We start from the raw sequence: 19,827 nt of genomic DNA, 5'->3' as shown, positions 1-19,827 counted from the left end.
GGAAAGTTTTACTGTACATTTTTTGGGTAATATCAGTATACGCTATGTCATAGTGACCACAATATCTGCCTCCATTTCTCAGTGTTTTTGACTTAGTCGCAGAACCATTTTAGAAGACCTGGTTTGATAGCCTACTTAGATCAGGGCTTCATTTTCTTTTTGTCTCCTTTATCATTCCTTTTTTTCCCATATGAAATATAAAATGGCATTCTAGTGGATAAAACAAAACAATTTTGAGCTCTTCTGGTTAAAGCCATGTTAGGGACCCGAAAACCTGCCCAGTGGGCTTCCTTTACCATTCTCCTCTCCCCTTCTACCCCCCTCTCATCATGAGAACCCCCAAGTTCCCTCTGTCAAGCCACAGGACTTCTGAACACAGATAGAAACCAACTGGCTGACTGTCCTATTCTACTGTCCTATTAAAATCCCAATATTTGAAATACTCTGCTATTCTATTATTCTGGTGACAGAGCAGAAATTAGCTTATTAAACAAGCTAATGTGTGACTTCTGTACCTGTGCTCAGTCAATAGACATTTGTGGAGTGTGTTCTCACTACGTGTCAGGCTCTGCTAAGTACAAGGAATACCTGTGAAATGGACAGGGCCTTTGCCTTCACGGAGGTCAGTGTAGTAAGAGATACTGATAGTACAATGTACCAAATATGACGATAGGGTGAACACAGAGGGGAACATAGAATATGTCCTGATCCACCCAGCAGGAGCGTGGTGGATCAGGGAAGGTTTGCTTGTTGGAGGTGGTGATATAGATATAGACCTGTGGAGAGCTTGGAGAGGAGTTTTCTAGCTAAGAGGATAACGTGTACCCACAGGCCCCGTGGTTCATCTGAGGGACTGGAAGGAGCTCTGTTTCAGTGGAACATGAAATGTATGGTGTCAGAACAGTGAGAGGAGAGAAAGATGAAGCTACAGAGGTGAGCAGAGTCCGCATCACAAAGAGTCTTGTAAGTCATTGCCAAGAGTCTGAAATTTAGCTGGAGGGCAATGTAAAGCTGTTGCAAGATTGTAATCAGGGAAATGATATGATAATTCAGCTGTAGTGTGAAAATGGCAGCAAGACTGATCAATGAGATCAATGTGGAGAATGTTGTAGTCATCGAGATGAGAGACGATTGTGGTCTGAATCAGAAAATGGCCATTGAGATGGAGAAGATGGATGGATTCAAGAGATATGTAAAAGCTGGAATCAGCAAGACTTCCTTGATTGAATATGGAGCATGAGGGTAGGGGAAAGGAAAGGATAATGCCCAAGTTTCTGGCTTGAGCCACTGAGTGGATGGTGATTCCTTCACCAATATAAGGGCATTAATATGGGTAGAAAGATAATGAGTTTTATTTTGGACATGTGGTGGGACATGTCTATAAGACAATTAAGTGGAAATAGAGTGCAGTTGTGTATAAGGATATGAAGATCAGAAAAACTATCGGCTAAAGATAAAGATTGAGGAGGCATTAGCATACATGGTAGGTGGTACTTGAAGACATGAAAATATATAAGATATCCAGAAGATTTTGTAGAGAAATAGAGGATCTAGAATAGAACCCTATAGGACAACCACATATGTAAGGGGTAAACAGAAGACAGGCCCCAAAGGAAACAGAGCAAAAAAGAAGAACAGAGGTAGAAAATAAATTCTTGGAAGCCAAAGGAAAAGGGTGTTTCAAGGAGATAGTTGTTGACTATGTTGAATTTTGCTGAGCAACAATGGAGAACTGTTCTTTGGATTTAGGAAGAAGGCAGTCATTAGTGACCTTGGTGAAAATAGTCTCAGTGGAAGTAATAAGAGTAGAAATCACATTGCTATAGGGTCAAAGGAAAGGGGGAACGTAGACACAATACTGCCAACAGTTCTTAGGAAGCTTGCTCTGAAAGGAAAGCAAGAGAGATGGTTGGCTGGGTACAGTGGCTCACGCTTATAATCCCAGTACTTTGGGAGGCTGAGGTGGGTGCATCACCTGAGGTCAGGAGTTTGAGACCAGCCTGGCCAACATGGCGAAACCCCGTCTCTACTAAAAATACACAAATTAGCTGGATGTGATGGCAGGTGCCTATAATCCCAGCTACTTGGGAGGCTGAAGCAGGAGGATTGCTTGAACCCTGGGGCGGGGTGAGCGGGGAGGTTGCAGTGAGCCAAGATCACGCCACTTCACTCCAGCCTGGGCGAAAGAGCGAGACTGTCTCAAAAAAAAAAAAGAGAGAGGTGTTGATAAAAGAACAGAAACGTGAGGTCAAAATAGGGTTTTTTGTTCTTTGTTTTTTTAATTCAAGAGACTTGAGTGTGTAGAAATATTTATGGAAAAGAGAGTGTTGTCATATTAATTTTACAGAACCTCAAAGAGGTTAAGCAGCTTCCCCTAAAGTCACACAACCAGCAGAGTTAGGATGCAAACCCAGGTCTGTCTGACTAAAGTAAATACAAACATAAAGAGTGTACAACTTGGCTCTAAGTACTGGCTTCTCAATAGAATTCACTAGATCAGAATCATATTCCAATTAGCACTAGTAGAAAAAATATATATATCATGTTTTCAGCCCTATTAAGAGACCAAGAAACTGAAGCTAAAAGTAAGCATCTGGCTTAAGCTTACACAGCTCACTATTGGCAAATCAGGTCCGGGGCGTTCACTGCTCTTAGTCTTCTTATATTCTACCTTTCATAGCATTTCCGCTTGGTTAAGGAGCCAATTTGGAGTTGGAGAACAAAGCATAAAGTATCTTAGTATAACAACTGATCGGATTAAGCTATTTAGATTTGCCATATACACGTCTGTATCACAGCAAGGGAAACTGCCAACAGAGTAAACAGACAACCTACAGAATGAGAGAAAATAGTTGCAAACTATGCAGCCAACAAAGGTTTAGTATGCAGAATCTATAAGGAACTTAAACAACTCAACAAGCAAAAACCACGTAACACCATTAAAAAGTGGGCAAAAGACATAAACAGAAACTTTTCAAAAGACATCCAAGAAGCCAACAAACATATGAAAAAACATTCAACATCACTAATCATCAGAGAAATGCAAATCAAAACCACAATGAGATATCATCTCAGCTGGGCACGGTGGCTCCCGCCTGTAATCCCAGCACTTTGGGAGGCCACAGCAGACAGATCATGAGGTCAGGAGTTTGAGACCAGCTTGGCCAACATGGTGAAACCCTGTCTCTACTAAAAATACAAAAAATTATCTGGGTGTGGTGACTCGCATCTGTAGTCCCAGCTTCTTGGGAGGCTGAGGCGGAAGAATCACTTGTACCCGGGAGGCGGAGGTTGCAGTGAGCAGAGATCGTGCCACTGCACTCCAACTTGGGCAACCGAGTGAGGGTTCCTCTCAAAAAAAAAAAAAGATATATCATCTGACCCATGACAGAATGGCTTGTAAAAGCCAGAAAATAACAGATGCTGGCGAGGCTGGAGAGAAAAAGAAGCACTTACATGCTATTGGTGGGAATGTAAAAGAGTTCAGCCACTGTGGAAAGCAGTTTTATTTCTCAAAGAACTTAAAACAGAACCACTACTCAACCCAGCAATGAGATTATATGCTCAAAGAAAAAAAAATCATTCTATGAAGAAGACACATGCACTCATACATTAATCATAGCACTATTCAGAACAGAAAAGACATGGAATCAACTAGGTACCCATCAACAATGGATTGGATAAAGAAAATGTGGTACATATACACCATGGAATACTATGCAGCCATAAAAAGAACAAAACCATGTCCTTTACAGCAACATGGATGTAGCTACAGGCCATTATGCTAAGCAAATTAGCAAAGGAACAGGAAACCAAATACTGCATCATGTTCTCACTTACAAGCAGGAACTAAACATTGGATACACAGGGACATAAAGATGAGAACAACAGGGCTGGGTGCAGTGGCTCATGCCTGTAATCCCAGCACTTTGGGAGGCCAGGGCAGACAGGTCACGTGAGGTCAGGAGTTCGAGACCAGCCTTGCCAACATGGGGAAACCCCCGTCTCTACTAAAAGTACAAAAATTAGTCTGGTGTGGTGGCACATGCCTGTAATCCCAGCTACTTGGGAGGCTGAGCTAGGAGAATGCTTGAACCCAGGAGGCAGAGATTGCAGTGAGCTAAGATCATGCCATTGAACTCCAGCCTGGGCAACAAGAGCGAAACTCCGTGTCAAAAAAAAGAAGAGAGAGAAAAACAGACACTGGGGACTACTAGAAGCAGGAGAGAGGAAGGAGGACAGGGGCTGAAACACTACCTATTGGGTACTATGCTCAGTACCCAATAGGCAGTGGAAGTAATAAGAGTAGAAGTTAAAGATCCTGGGTGATGGGGTCTTTCATACCTCAAACCTCAGTGTCATGTAATAAACTCATGTAACAAACCTGCACACATACCCCTTAAATCTAAAATAAAAGTTGATATTATATTTTTAAAAAGTTTTTAATCTACACATGGGATAAAATTTTATGATATTTCTCACACATACTCCCACACTTACAGTACATGTAAACACTAATGAAAATATGCAACTAAAATCTAACCCAGCAATTGCACTCCTGGACATTTATGCCAGAGAAAAGAAAACACAGTCACACAAAAACATGAATGCTCCTAGTGGCTGTATTTGTAACAGCAAAAAAAGTAATCAGCATCAATGTCCTTCAACAGGTGAATGGTTAAATAAACTGTGGCGCATACATACCATGAAATACTACTCTGTAATCAAAAGGAGGAAACAATTGATACACACAAGTTGGATGTATGTCCAGGGAATTTTGCTGGGTGAAAAAGAAAGCCCATTCCAAAAGATTACAGGCTATAGATTCCATTTACATAAAATGACAAACTTACAGAGATACACAGCAGATTAGTGGTTGCCACGGGTCGTATTGGGATGGGGGATCCGGAGGAAAGTAGGTGTGGTTATAAAAGGGCAAGAACTGTTCAATATCTTGATCGTATTGGTTGATACACGAATCTACATGGGTGATAAAATTGTGTAGAGCTTAATACAAACACAAACGAATAAAAGTAAAATTGTTGAAATACAAATAATGTCAGTGGATTGTATTGATGTCAATATCTTAGTTGCAATATACCATAGTTTAGCAAAATGGTAGCATTGGAGGATACTGGGCAAAGTGTACAAGGGACCTTTTTGTATTGTTTCTTACAACTGCATATCAAAATTATCTCAATAAAAATTGTAATAAAGGCCGGGCGCGGTGGCTCACACGCCTGTAATCCCAGCACTTTGGGAGGCCGAGGCGGGCGGATCACGAGGTCAGGTGATCAGGACCATCCTGGCTAACACCGTGAAACTCCGTCTCTACTAAAAAAAAACGTACAAAAAATTAGCTGGTCGTGGTGGCGGGCGCCTGTATCCCAGCTACTCGGGAGGCTGAGGCAGGAGAATGGCGTGAACCCAGGAGGTGGAGCTTGCAATGAGCCGAGATCGCGCCACTGCACTCCAGCCTAGACGACAGAGCAAGACTATGTCTCAAAAAAAAAAAATTGTAATAAAAAGAGAAAAAAAAATCCATGTCACTCTTTGTGAGCCCAAAGTGGTCTAAAAACTGCTCAGCATGCTAACATGTAAATTCTACTTATTTAAAGTAGAATTGTGACGGTATATACTAAGCCTATGTTATAGTTCTAGTAAAAAATAACAAAATCGGCAGTTTTTCAACTCAGTGTCTTTGACTTGGTTAAACAAATGTGTAATTATTGTCAAAATTTTCCTCAGGGAAATGAATATATCATTTTTGCACTTCTTGTATGGTTTACCAAAAAGTTGAGTAACTGCAGATTGCATAATTGAAGGAAGTTTTGAAAATGAAAGCTGTAGGTAGGTGAAGTGGCTCACGCCTGTAATCCCCGCACTTTGGGAGGCCGAGGCCGGCGGATGACCTGAGGTCAGGAGTTTGAGACCAGTCTGGCCAACAAGGCGAAACCCTGTAAATTAGCCAGGCATGGTGCCGTGCGCCTGTAATCCCAGCTACCCGGGAGGCTGAGGCCTGAGACTCGCTTGAACCCAGGGGGCGGAGCTTGGAGTAAGCCGAGATCGCACCCCTGCACTCCAGCCTGGGCAACAGAGCGACACTCCGTCTCAAAAAAAAAAAAAAAAAGAAATATAGAAATAATGTCTCCCTCCAGAGCAAAGGGCAGTCTGCTTACTGCCCATTATAAAAGATTCAGGTTTTTTAAGCTTAGAGTTCTTCTCCTAGAGCACAATCCACCATTTGCTGGCACCCCTTGAAACTTCAGGCCAGGGGAGCTGTACAAATGTACTCATGCTCATGCTGCTGGCTGAGCCATGAGTAATAATGTCCTTTGCCTCTGACCCAGAAGTCTACTGTCTTCTGCCAGCATCCAGAAGCTTGGAAATAGAGCAAAATCTCAGATCTATTACAGGTCTTCAAACCTTATACGATTTAAAGATTAAATGAGTTTGTTTGTTTGTTTGTTTGTTTATTGAGATGGAGTCTCACTCTGTCGCCCAGGCTGGAGTGCAGTGGCGTGATCTGGGCTCACTGCAACCTCCGCCTCCCAGGTTCAAGCGATTCTCCTGTCTCACCCTCCAGGATAACTGAGATTACAGGCACCCACCACCACACCCAGCTAAGTTTTTTTATTTTAGTAGAGACGGGGTTTCACCGTGTTGCCCAGGCTGGTCATGAACTCCTGAGCTCAGGCAATCCACCCGCCTCAGCCTCCCAAAGTGCTAGGATTACAGGTGTGAGCCACCAAGCCCGGCCACGAGTTTCTTCATTTAAAATGCTTAGCACAGCCAGGCGCAGTGGCTCATGCCTGTAATCCCAATACTTTGGGAGGCCAAGGCAGGTGGATCACGAAGTCAGGAGGTGGAGACCATCCTGGCCAACATGGTGAAACCCCATCTCTACTAAAAATACAAAATTAGCCAGGCGTGGTGGTGCATGCCTGTAGTCCCAGCTACACAGGAGGCTGAGGCCAGAGAATTGCTTGAACCTGGGAGGCAGAGGCTGCAGTGAGCTGAGATCACACTACTGCACTCCAGCTTGGGCAACAGGCAGGACTCTGTCTCAAAAAAAAAAAAAAAAAAAAAGTGCTTAGCACAATTCTTGGTACTTGGTAAACATTCAATAAATGCTCGCTCTACTTACATTATAACCATCAAAATACAGGTATGCCACTGGGAGAGCCACGTAAATAAATGTGTGTGTGTATGCTTGAAATCCCCCGAGCAGGAATTTAGTCCTGTGGGTTAAGGCTTTATATTTCAAAGTGTATGCTTTTATATATTCCAGGTACAAGGGCCCATAGGGAGATTACTTTCATAGCTGTTCTTTGCTATGGACACCTCATAATCTATCCACATCCCCTGGTAATCAATGTTCATTTCTCATAGCAGAGCCTGGCAAGGGAAATCTTAGGAGGTGTTCATTTTACGTGATTGGAAGAGAGATTTTGAACATGAGTTGTTGTCTAGGTAAACAAATTTGAGTAGGACCCAAGAATCTCATCATGAGAACATGGTATGTATTTGTCTTGCTCACAACTTTATTCCCAACATCTAGCACAAGGTCTAGCACACAGCAGAAGCTTAGAAAATATTTGTTGAGTGAGTGAATTTCTATGACAGAAAGAAATTCAGGGGAGTCTTTCTTTTCCTTGGCCATCCAGAAATAGATGTCTGAGTTATTGAAGTGCCCCGTCCTCAAATTATCCCTGCCAAACTTGGCAACCATTTCACCTACTGAAAAGAAACTCCATCAAAAATCTAAGATAAAAAGAAATGATAAAATAACAAAACAAACTTTTGACCCACTTTGTTGTGCATTGGAAGGCACGCTTTGGCAGACAAAAAGGCTCAATGCTGTGTAATTGTCGTCAGTGTTTCACTTAATATTTTAATGAGCTGAGCAACTGACATTTTGACTGAACACATGCCTTTGGTGGCTCTTGTTGCTAAGCAAAAGAGTGTATAAAAAGCTTGTTGTCCTTTTTTTTAAAAAAAAAATAATTTCTTAAAACGCAAATACATCCCAACTGCCACTTGGATTTCTACAGAGACAATTCCTGTCATCCTTCCTCCTTCCTGCCCAAGCCAGCTCTTCTCATCATTTCCTCTGCTCCCGCAGAGTTGCTGAGTTGGGTTCCACGCTCCTCTGCTAGTTCCTGGATTCACAGCAGATCCTTCTGAGCCAGGACATGTCTGCCAGGACAGGCAGTGCCATTTTTAGCTATTTCTCTCCTCTCTTCTCCTCAACCTTCCACAGAACAACATTTGTACATTTATTTTAATATTCCTTCTTCTTTCAATTCAGCTGGCTGTCTTAACGTTTTCTCTACATCTGACACTTCTACCCATTTGCTCCATGATTTTCCCTTTTTTCTCCTCTCTTTTTTCTCCTTTCATTTTCCTCTCTCTGGTAGGGGTGGTTGGTTGGAATTCCCACGATGATCAAAAGGCGATTTTTGAGAAACAGGGGAAATGGGTGATGTGCAAAATCGGGAGGGAATCACAGCAAATGGAATACTCTTTAAGCAATTAGATATTTGTATTCTTTCTTTGCCAGCCCTTGAAAATAAGCATTGTAATTATCCCGTCATACAGATGGAATAACTAAGAACTAAGAGGTTAAACAACCATCCAGCTGGGCACTGTGGCTCACGCCTATAATCCCAGCACTTTGGGAGGCCGAGGTGGGCGGATGATGAGGTCAGGAGATTGAGACCATCCTGGCCAACATTGTGAAACCCCGTCTCTACTAAAAATACAAAAATTAGCTGGGCACGGTGGCACACGCCTGTAGTCCCAGCTACTAGGGAGGCTGAGGCAGGAGAATCACTTGAACCCGGGAGGCAGAGGTTGCAGTGAGCCGAGATCACGCCACTGCACTGCAGGCTGGGCGACAGAGCTAGACTCCATCTCAAAAAAAAAAAAACAAACCGTTCAAGGTCTGACAGAGAGTAAATGGCAGGACCAAGATTTAGACTCAGGCAGTGTGACTCCAGATCCCACTCTTACCACTGTCTTCCACTATCTTGTGTGAGCTGAGATGTGAATAGGGATGAATATAAGTGACAGTAAACACATAGAGGAGAGGGCAAGTTTGGGGAACCGTAACATCCACAGAGAAGTAACCAGGAAACAAAAATCTAGCAAACTTAAGAGGCTCATTTGTGACATCGTTTGGGAGTAGAAAAACATGTAAGGTTCATATTTGGGAGATTTGGGTTGAAATGACACTTTCATTCCTTGTTAGCGTGTTATTTAACCTCTCTAAGCCTCTATTTCCTCATCTCTAAACGGAGATAGCACACATTTCACAGTTTAATGGCAAGGATTTTTAAAAGATAACATGTGAAAAGGCTTTGTAAACTGTGGAGTTCTATGCAAATATCTTTCTTCCTCTTGGCTTCTTCCCGTCTGTAACAGAAAGTAGATTTCAGAATAGGGACTCAAGAAGCAAATGCAGAATAAAGGACGCTCCAGGAAGCTGGGGCAATTCTTGCAGGCAGTCTGTAGTCTAGGAGTTACTCTTCTCTAGCCTGAACTCTGGGAGATTTATGAGACCCATCCTATCTCAGCAGCACAGAGAAAAAACAGTTTTGCCAAAGGCATTAAACATTTTCCTACTGGAGGAAAGTTGCACTTTTAACCTCCAGCATTTTTTGAATTGTATGAAATACAATGAGAACAGAAATGGCCAAAACAAAGGAATACCAAACACTACACTTAAAAAACTGAACTTTTAGAAAATATGGAAAAACTCCGGAGTTTGTATATCAGCTCTCATCAAATGAGATGGGGAAAGATGCAAGGTGGCCATGGGACATGGTCTGGAATAACAGCAGAGGCTGATCAGTAGATGAGCAAGTGGTCCTTGACAGGTGAAGATCTCAAGCCCAACACAAGAGCCACCTCCCCCAGCCACCAGTGGGTTTTAATACAGGGAACAATTTGGAGCCATTGGCAAGTCAGACAATACTAGCTGGCAGAAAATTCAATCTATCGCATTTTGAGGACTTCTCCCCGTTCCTAAAGCTCTGGTCTAAGTGCTAAAGACATAGCAATAAGGACAGGAAGCTCACTACCCTCAAGGAGCTTACATTCTAGGACCCAGCTGGGTGGGGGTAAGAAGTCTAAATGAAGCAGATAATGTCAGAGAAAGTGCTAAGGAACACATAGGAGATGCTCAGTAATATTTCTTAAATGGATGGATGGATAAGTGAGGCTTAGGATTCTCTAAAGACCATCTTTGTACAATGAGGCATTCAAGCCACCTGTCTTAATTGAGAATGCCATTTAATACATTCATTCAAATTCATTTAATCATTCAGACAACCGTTCTTTTTTTTTTTTTTTTTTTTTTTTTTGAGACGGAGTCTAGCTCTGTTGCCCAGGCTGGAGTGCAGTGGCAAAATCTCAGCTCACTGCAACCTCCACCTCCTGGGTTCAAGCGATTCTCCTGCCTCAGCCTCCCAAGTAGCTGGGACTACAGGCACCCACCACCACGCCCAGCTAATTTTTGTATTTTTAGTAGAGACGGGGTTTCACTGTGTTGGCCAGGCTGGTCTCGAACTCCTGACCTCATGATCTGCCCACCTCGGCCTCCCAAAGTGCTGGGATTATAAGCGTGAGCCACCGCGCCCAGCCCAGACAACAGTTCTTAAGTATCTATTACATGCAGGCACTATGCTAGGTCCTAGGGATATGAAGAGAAAATACACTCCAGAGACCCAATAACCCTTTCATTAAAAATCAGCTTCTACCGACTCTATTTGTTCTATCTTCTGCCAATTTTGCCCACTTTCAGATTCAGCCTGAATGTATCTCCTGCCGGGAGAGCCATAAAAGGCTCTGTGCCAAAAGGCTTGCAGAGCCTGGATGGCCCAGAATTCCAATCTAGGCTCAGTAATATGTGACATTTTCACAAGGCAGGTGGCTCCATGCTGGAGTTTCCCATCACCCTAGAATCTCACGCTGAACTAGTAATGAACAGGAGTTCATCATAAGGTAGTGTAGTGACCGATTCTCTCCCAGTCATGAGCACACTTAACCATACTGTTTCATCTGTGGCTGGGTGACCCAACAACAGAATATTCTAGAAGTCTAAGTCTGACCTCTGTAAAGAGGAGTAGGAAATTGTCATAGAGGAAGAGTCCTACTTGCTGCAATTTCCACAGGGTAGGAAAAAATCCTGTCACTGCCATATAGGGCCCCTTACCACTGGCTGTCTCTGGACTTGCAACCATGCATAGATACACACACATAATTAGAATAGCCTTAGCCATCTTATTATCAATATTAAAAAAAATTGGCCAGTACTTTTATTTTATTTATTTATTTATTTTTTCCTGAGAGAGAGTCTCACTCTGTCACCCAGGCTGGAGTGCAGTGGTGCAATCTCAGCTCACTGCAACCTCTGCCTCCCGGGTTCAAGCGATTCTCCTGCCTTAGCCTCCTGAGTAGCTGGGATTACAGGCGTGCACCACCACGCCTGGCTAATTTTTGTATTTTTTTAGTAGAGATGGAGTTTCACAATGTTGGTCAGGCTGATCTCCAACTCCTGACTTCATGATGCGCCCACCTCGGCCTCCCAAAGTGTTGGGATTACAGGCGTGAGCCACCGAAAAATTGGCCAGTTCTGTAGTGTCTTTTCCTTTCCGAATTTCATGATACTGTTGAGAAAAGCCTGATCTTTCTTGCCAAGATACAGCACTGTCTTCCCAGTGCCTGTTAATCCTCTTTTATTTTATTTTATTATTTAAGTGAAGAAAGCTTACTGAGCTGAAAAAAACATTTAGATTGTGACTTCAAAATTGTGACCAGAGAAGGCTGAATTTGCGAGTTGTTTAAAGAAATGAAAAGCAGCCCAGATGAAAAGCTGGAAAGGCTCAGGAAGAAACACAGGTGATGGGAAAGGAAAATAATCTACCCCCAGGCTGAGTAGGGAGCAAACCGAAAAAGACAATACGGAATAAGACCACATTATGTCTAACTGAAAATTGTTGTCAATCTTTCCTCTCCAAAAAAAAAAAAAAAGATGTTCTAATATGTAAGAATAAATGCATGTGTCAAATGGGGTTGTTTGCAAACACTCAATTATTATTGCACAGCAGGAGCACACGGCTCTCTTACTCTCTCTTTTGAGCTGGGTGACAACGACAGGAAGAAGACATCTAAAACATGTTTACATTTTAGCAGAGAGGCCTTCTGGAGGAAAGTCAATCCATAAATCTAAGACATAAATAAACAAGCCACCATCTTAGGCAATGTTCTTGAAAAAAGGACAGGAGACAAATCCGCCTTAAGTTGATAGGTTGACGTTGGAAAAGCGGACCTGGATTCTGTTTGCTTCAATAGAGGACCATAATTGCTGTTCTCTGTAACCTCAGGTCCTCCCCTCCTGGCACACACACCCATGGACCCTTCCCAGAGATCAACATGACTACCTCTGCAGCATGTTGAGTTATGTCGTTGGCCTCTTTGGCTCAGCATTAGTTGTGGAGCCTAGGAATTCGTACGTTGGATTTTCTGGATATGCCTTGGTTTGATTTGTTACTATTCCTTTGCTTTAAGTGGTAGAATCTGTTTTTCTTTTTTTTTTAATTTACATATATCATAATAAGCCATAAGTAAGAGCAGTAATGTGACTAATACAAATTTTACATTCTATAATATTATTAGTATGAACTTTGGTAACCCTATGGGGTGATTTTAATTTTGTTTTGACTGTTAAGAGAACTGATTATGACTTAAACTCTTCTTCAAGATAAAAAATTCTATTATGAACCCTAGATTCAGTACTTCAAACAGGAAAACCTTAGCTTTATTTTGGATACTCAGTGAAGTGATATATTCCTGGACAAATGAGGGGAGAGAAGAGGGCGGCAGGGAGGGGGAAGGGTCTTGAACGCAACTATTCCTCTAGATCAGCATCTCTATATCAGTTCTTAAGTAACAGACCAAACTCAGTCGTAAATGGTTTGTTCTGAAAAATGCAACTGAGTATTTTCTTAAGGAATGAAGCCTGGGAACAATCAAATAGACCAGAAGGGTGAGAACTATTTTCTCTTCAGTGGTTAATTCAGTGCCTGGCATAGAAAAAGTATTGTATAAATTATATATATATATTTAATTTAACTTAATTTTATTTTTTGAGACAGAGTCTCGCTCTGTCGCCCAGGCTGGAGTGCAGTGCGGCGATCTTGGCTCACTGCAACCTCTGCCTCCCAGGTTCAGCAATTCTCCTGCCTCAGCCTCCTGAGTAGCTGGGATTACAGGCATGAGCCACCGCGCCCGGCCTAAATAATATTTTTAATGAATGGATGTGCCATTATCCTCCATTAGTATATTTATCAAGCATCTAACAAAACACCAAAAATTGATTGAGATCAATCACCACTGTATTTAAAGTTTTCAACTTGCCCTACTAACAATACTTTGTCAGCATTCCAGGTGGATGGCAGAATGAACTGACTTACCCTTCATGGCCTGGCCTCTTTATCTTTAAAAGCTGAAAGATGGCCAGGTGCGGTGGCTCACGCCTGTAATCCCAGAACTTTGGGAGACTGAGGCGGGTGGATCACGAGGTCAGGAGTTCCAGACCAGCCTGACCAACCTGGTGAAAGCTCATCTCTACTAAATACAAAAAATTAGCCAGGCGTGGTGGTGCATGCCTGTAATCCCAACCACTTGGGAGGCTGAGGCAGGAGAATTGCTTGAACCCAGGAGGTGGAGATTGCAGTGAGCCTAGATTGCGCCATTGCACTCCGGCCTGGACAACAAGAGAGAAACTCCATCTCAAAAAAAAAATTAATTAAAAAAAAAAAGCTGAAGGATCAGTGGGGCACGGTGGCTCACGTCTGTAATCCTAGCACTTTGGGAGGCTAAGGCGGGTGGATCACCTGAGGTCAGGAGTTCGAGACCAACCTGACCAACATGGTGAAACCCTGTCTCTAATAAAAATACAAAAAATTAGCCAGGCTGCGGTCCCAGCTACTCGGGAGGCTGAGGCAGGAGAATCACTTGAACCCAGCAGACAGAGGTCGCGGTGGGCAGAGATCACGCCATTGCACTCCAGCCTGGGCAACGAGAGAGAAACTCCGTCACACACATACACACACACAAAAAAAAGCTGAAGGATCCCTCACCTATAAGACCAATGGGAGTAGAGGAGGGCTGTCTTATACTAGTCTAGGAATCCTTTTTTCTTCCATTGCTTGTCACTACATCTCCACTTTCTGCAGAAGGGCAGTGACATATCTCAAGTCCAGAGAAACAAAGGTCTGGGAAATTTACAAACCACGCATTCATCCCTTGAATCATATAATGTCTAAGACAAAGTATGAGTCAAAGAGAAAGGGTAATCTTCTGTTGATGTTGGCTTTGCTGTGTTTTATTTTATTTCATTTTATTTAGAATGCCTTGTTTAGAATGTGAGTGCTATACTTGTATGCCACCAAGAAAAAACCTTCTGTACCTCAAAAGATTTTTTTATTTGATAGAAGCAATAAAACATACAAGACTGCTAATACATTCACTTGTGAGCTTCTGAAACTTCTCTGCCCTTTGCTTCTTTGCAGCTGTAAAATATGTTTTGCCCCAGTACCACCAAGACCATGAGCACACTCTGCCCTCCACAGCCACTTTGAGGCCAAACATGATACTTCACTCCATTTAAAAAAAAAAAAAAAAAGAAAGAAAGAAATCAAATTTCCAAAGTGTTAATGATTAGTCTAGATTTCTGAGGCATATTCTAGAAAGACAGATGTTATATGGCACAGCAGTTTCACTAGAAAACACCAACCACCAAGTCCTCCTCTCTGCTTACCACTGGTTCTCAAAAATACCCAGGTGGGGCCCATCCAGACTAATAGAATCTGAATTGCTGAAAGTGAAACTCAGGTTTCCTAGTTTTAAAAACTCCCCAGGAGATTCTAATGGGAAATTAAGGTTGAAAACCCCTCTAGCCTTTCTCCTCCCCCATATCTCTTTTCTAATGCAAAACAATTTAGTTCTCTCCTTGCTCCAAAATTATATCCTCCTTCCCTTTACCTCACTCAGCAAAACAAGGTTTCTCATTAAGGCACATCCTCCTTAGAAGGTTATAGGTAAGTAGAAAAGTTTCGCCATCAAAATAATTTTCTTCTGGTGATGTGTGGAATTAGTATCTTTTAGAATAACCCATGTATATGTCTCCTTTTATCAGAGCCAGGAGGCCGAATATGCACATACTGCAAGGAACTTCGTATGGCATTTAACAAATAAGGTAACTGCCCAACAGGTTCACCTTGCCCGCTGCTGAGACAGAGCCAATTTATCAAGACAGGGGAATTGCAATAAAGAAAGAGTTTAATTCACGCAGAGCCGGCTGTATGGGAGACTGGAATTTTATTAGTACTCAAATCAGTCTCCCTGAAAACTCGGGAATCAGGGTTTTTAAGGATAATTTGGTGGGTAGGGGGTTGGAGAGTGGGGAGCTGCTGATTGGTCAGGTCAGAGATGAAATCACAGCGAGTTGAAACTGTCCTCCTGCGCTGAGTCAGTTCCTGGGTGGGGGCCACAAGACAGGATGAGCCAGTTTATCCGTCTGGGTGGTGCCAGCTGATCCGTCAAGTGTAGGGTCTGCAAAGTATGTTAAGCACTGATCTTAGGTTTTACAATAGTGATGTTATCCCCAGGAACAATTTGAGGAGGTTCAGAATCTCCAGCTGCGTGACTCCTAAACCATAATTTCTAATCCTGTAGCTAATTTGCTAGTTCTAAAAAAGCAGTCTCGTCCCCAGGCAGGAAGGGGGTTTGTTTTGCGAAAGGTCTGTTATTGTCTTTGTTTGAAAGCTAAACTGTAAACTAAATTTCTTCCAAAGTTAGTTGGGCCCACGCCCAGGAATGAACAAAGACAGCTTGGAGGTTAGAAGCAAGATGGAGTCAGTTAGATCAGTCATAATTTTCTCATTTATAATTTTTGCAAAGGCGGTTTCAGTAACATCCTTGGACTGGGACTTGAAAGACACACTCGGCCGGGTGCGGTGGCTCATGCCTGTAATCGCAGCGCTTTGGGAGGCCAAGGTGGGCAGATCATGAGGTCAAGAGTTCGAGGCCAGCCTGGCCAACATGGTGAAACCCCGTCTCTACTAAGAATACAAAAATTAGCCAGGCGTGGTGACATGTGCCTGTAGTCTCAGCTACTCGGGAGGCTGAGGCAGGAGAATCGCTTGAACCCGGGGGCAGAGGTTGCAGTGAGTCGAGATCATGCCACTGCACTCCAACCTGGGTGACAGAACAAGACTCCGTCTGGAGAAAAAAAAAAAAAAAACAGAAAGACACACTCATTGATTTTCAGGCAGAAGCATTGGCACTGGAATCATTCTGGTAGGTGGCTACATGTCCTCTTTGCAAATATTCAAGAAATGAGATTCCACATTCTTTCAGCAAACTCTGACAATGTTAAACAAAAATAACCACAAAAGTGGTCATTAGCTGAGCTGAGAGGACGCTTCTAGCCATCAGATTCCTTCTTTTTGTATTCTCCTTCTTTTTGTTACCTTTTTCCTGAATTAATCACTGCATTTCTATGCTTAGATAAGGGCAATGAGGTGTAGTAGAAAGGACAAGGTGTCTGGGGAAGGTCAAAGTCATTTTAAGATTTCAAGGAACAGAATCTACTCAAGCCAGATCAGTGTTCTCAGCTGTGGTCTGAGTTCCTGGTGATTTCCATCCGGTGGGCCTGGGAGAGGGTCCAGGCATCATCTGTAGCTTTTTTTTTTTTTTAATTTTTTAATTTTTTTGAGACAGGGTGTCCCTCTGTGCCCCAGGCAGGAGTGCAGTGGTGTGATCTTGGCTCACTGCAGCATCCACCTCCCTGGCTCAAGCAATCCTCCCGCTTCAGCCTCCCAAGTAACTGGATGTACAAGGATACACCACCACACCCAGCTAATTTTTGTATTTTTTGTAGAGACAGGGTTTGGCCATGTTGCCTAGGCTGGTCTCTGACTCCTGAGCTCAAGCAATCTGCCTGCCTTGGCCTCCCAGAGTGCTGGGATTATAGGCGTGAGCCACTGCACCTGGCCTATCTGTAGCTTTAAATGTTGCACACACACCTGTCCCTCAGTGGCTCCTGGTCTCTCCTTCTCTCTGCCTGTGCTTCATTCCTGCCATAGAGAGCTGATTCCTTGGCTACTATACCATCATGCCTGTGGCTCTGGTTTGTCAGGGCACCAATTCTGGGCCCCAGTCTGCAGAACATTTCAGAACTGCCTCTCAGTTCAAATTTCAGAGCAAATATGCCTGCTCACAGCACAGCAAATACATTGCTTCTTCTCTGATCTTTGTTCAAATATTGGCCCACCCCCATTTAGAATACATGACTTTGACCATGATACTTGAACTCTGAGTTCTTGTGTAAAACAGAAATACAAGCCGGGCGCGGTGGCTCACGCCTGTAATCCCAGCACTTTGGGAGGCCAAGGCGGGCGGATCATGAGGTCAGGAGATTGAGACCATCCTGGCTAACAAGGTGAAACTACTAAAATACAAAAAATACCATCTCTACTAAAAATACAAAAAATTAGCCAGGCGTGGTGGCGGGCGCCTGTAGTCCCAGCTACTCGGGAGGCTAAGGCAGGAGAATGGCGTGAACCTGGGAGGCGGAGCTTGCAGTGAGCCAAGATCATGCCACCGCACTCCAGCCTGGGGGACAGAGTGAGACTCCGTCTCAAAAAACAAACAAACAAAAACAAACAGAAATACAAATTTCCACTTCACTGGGCTACTGAAGGATTAAATGCAAATATATATATATATATAAAATAACTATCACAATGCCTGGCACCTACCAGTCAGTTTCTATAGCCTTTCAAACAAAGTGGCAAGGCTAAGAGCCCTATGTGCTGTTCGTCTCTTGCACTGACAACCCCACCTCTGAAAAGTCTGCACAGACAGCCTCAGTGCAGTCAAATAAGGCTTGTTGCTTTTCCTTTTCCTCATATTTGCCAAGAGCCATTTTCATAACTCTTTAGTACAGAAATAAGAAGGAAAACTGCTGAAACTCGAAGTGGTTTGACTTACTTTTGTTAGTCTCTAGTTGAGAAGAGAATAAGACTAAAGACCAAAATGAAATTTTTGCTTTGGGCGTGTGGGCTTAATTCATCTGTGCTATCACTCTCGTGGCCCTGAGAAATAGGGGCTGCTCTAAGTAGGCACATGGTAACCACCTACTGATCTGTTTTTGTTAAAGTGTGTTCTGTATTTTCATTTGTACTTGTTTTAAATTTTGTGAGTCTTCTGGGAGTAGACAAAGATTAAACATGGGTAGCAGGTTTTCTTTCTTTCCCTTCTGTCTTCTGACGTGTTTCCTATTTCTTTGTTGGGTAGAATTAGCGTGTTTCCTTTGTTTTTAATAGTTCCTTAAACTTTCAGTCCTACTCAGCCCTATTTTAAGCTACTTTGTCTTTTTGTTTTTCGCTTTTGGTCAGTGGAGGGACTCTATAGTTTGTCAGGATGTGCCTCTGTACGATGAAAACTAGAGAGAAAATTCTGACAAGTAGAGTTTTTTCTTTGATTAGCTTTCTCATGTGGAGTCAAGTCCTCTGCTTGCCTCACCAGGACAGGTGGTGAAGAAGCTTTTCAGATCTTTTTTTCTTCTAGGAAAGCTTGCACATCTGGAGCACAGCCCTCCTTTCTTATTTTTTGCTATGTTGTTCAAAGCTTTTTAAGAAAAAAAAACATAAACAGCAAAGAAAAAAATTGGTTTTTCATACCAAGTTGGCTTTTATTGGATGCCCTCAACTGCAGAGACATATTTAAAGGGCAGCTGGCCACCTTCTTTTGAGGTCAGACAGCTGACTCTTAATCATATTGACAATTTCTGGCTGGGAAGAAACATCTAAAAAACGTATTATGAAACATAAAAGTGGAGGCAGCTCTTTACCTTGCCACTTCCCCCTCCAGTCTCTACAGGAGTTCCTCCAAACAAAGCTCACGTTCCAAGAGTGGCAGGCCCACTTCTTCTATCTCATTCTCCTTCGCAGCCTTTGAACGACCTCTCTCATCCTCCCATCTCTCACAGCCTCACCTCTCTAGGTATTTGGAACCTTACGCTTTGCAGATGAGGAAAATTTAATGCCTCAATGATAACTTCAAATGGCATTTTAGCCCCTACAGAAATGAATAAATCATCAGATTCACTTTTCATTTGGGAACTGAAAGGGATTATAGCCCACAAGAACTTCAGGATCCTCATTTGGAACCCTGCTTTAGGAAGGCTTTTTTTCTTTTTTTTTTTTTTTTTTTTTGAGACGGAGTTTCTCTCTTGTTGCCCAGGCTGGAGTGCAATGGCACGATCTCGGCTCACTGCAACCTCTGCCTCCCAAGTTCAAGCAATTCTCCTGCCTCAGCCTCCCGAGTAGCTGGGATTACAGGCACCTACCACCATGCCCAGCTAATTTTTGTATTTTTAGTAAAGATGGGGTTTCACCATGCTGGCCAGGCTGGTCTTGAACTCCTTACCTCAGGTGATCTGCCCACCTCGGCCTCCCAAAGTGCTGGGATTACAGACGTGAGCCACCACACCTAGTCAGGAAGGCGTTTTATACAGACATGCCCTGCCCTTGCCCGTGACCTGCCCTTGCCCATGACCTTGAGGACATAGGGCTCTATTTCCACTAGTCAGAAGCCCCTAAGGCGAAGGCTTTCTGAGACAAGAAAAAGTAATTTATGGAACCAGTAATATTTAAGTGATAATAATAGGGGCTTGATTGAACATTTACTCTGTACCAGGTGCTGTATTACATGCTTTTATAAGCATTACCTCATTTAATCATCTCACCGATC

The sequence above is a fragment of the Homo sapiens genome, chromosome 15, assembly GCF_000001405.40.
Source record: "Homo sapiens chromosome 15, GRCh38.p14 Primary Assembly".
Classification (NCBI taxonomy): domain Eukaryota; kingdom Metazoa; phylum Chordata; class Mammalia; order Primates; family Hominidae; genus Homo; species Homo sapiens.
Note: the sequence above shows the minus strand (reverse complement) of the source record.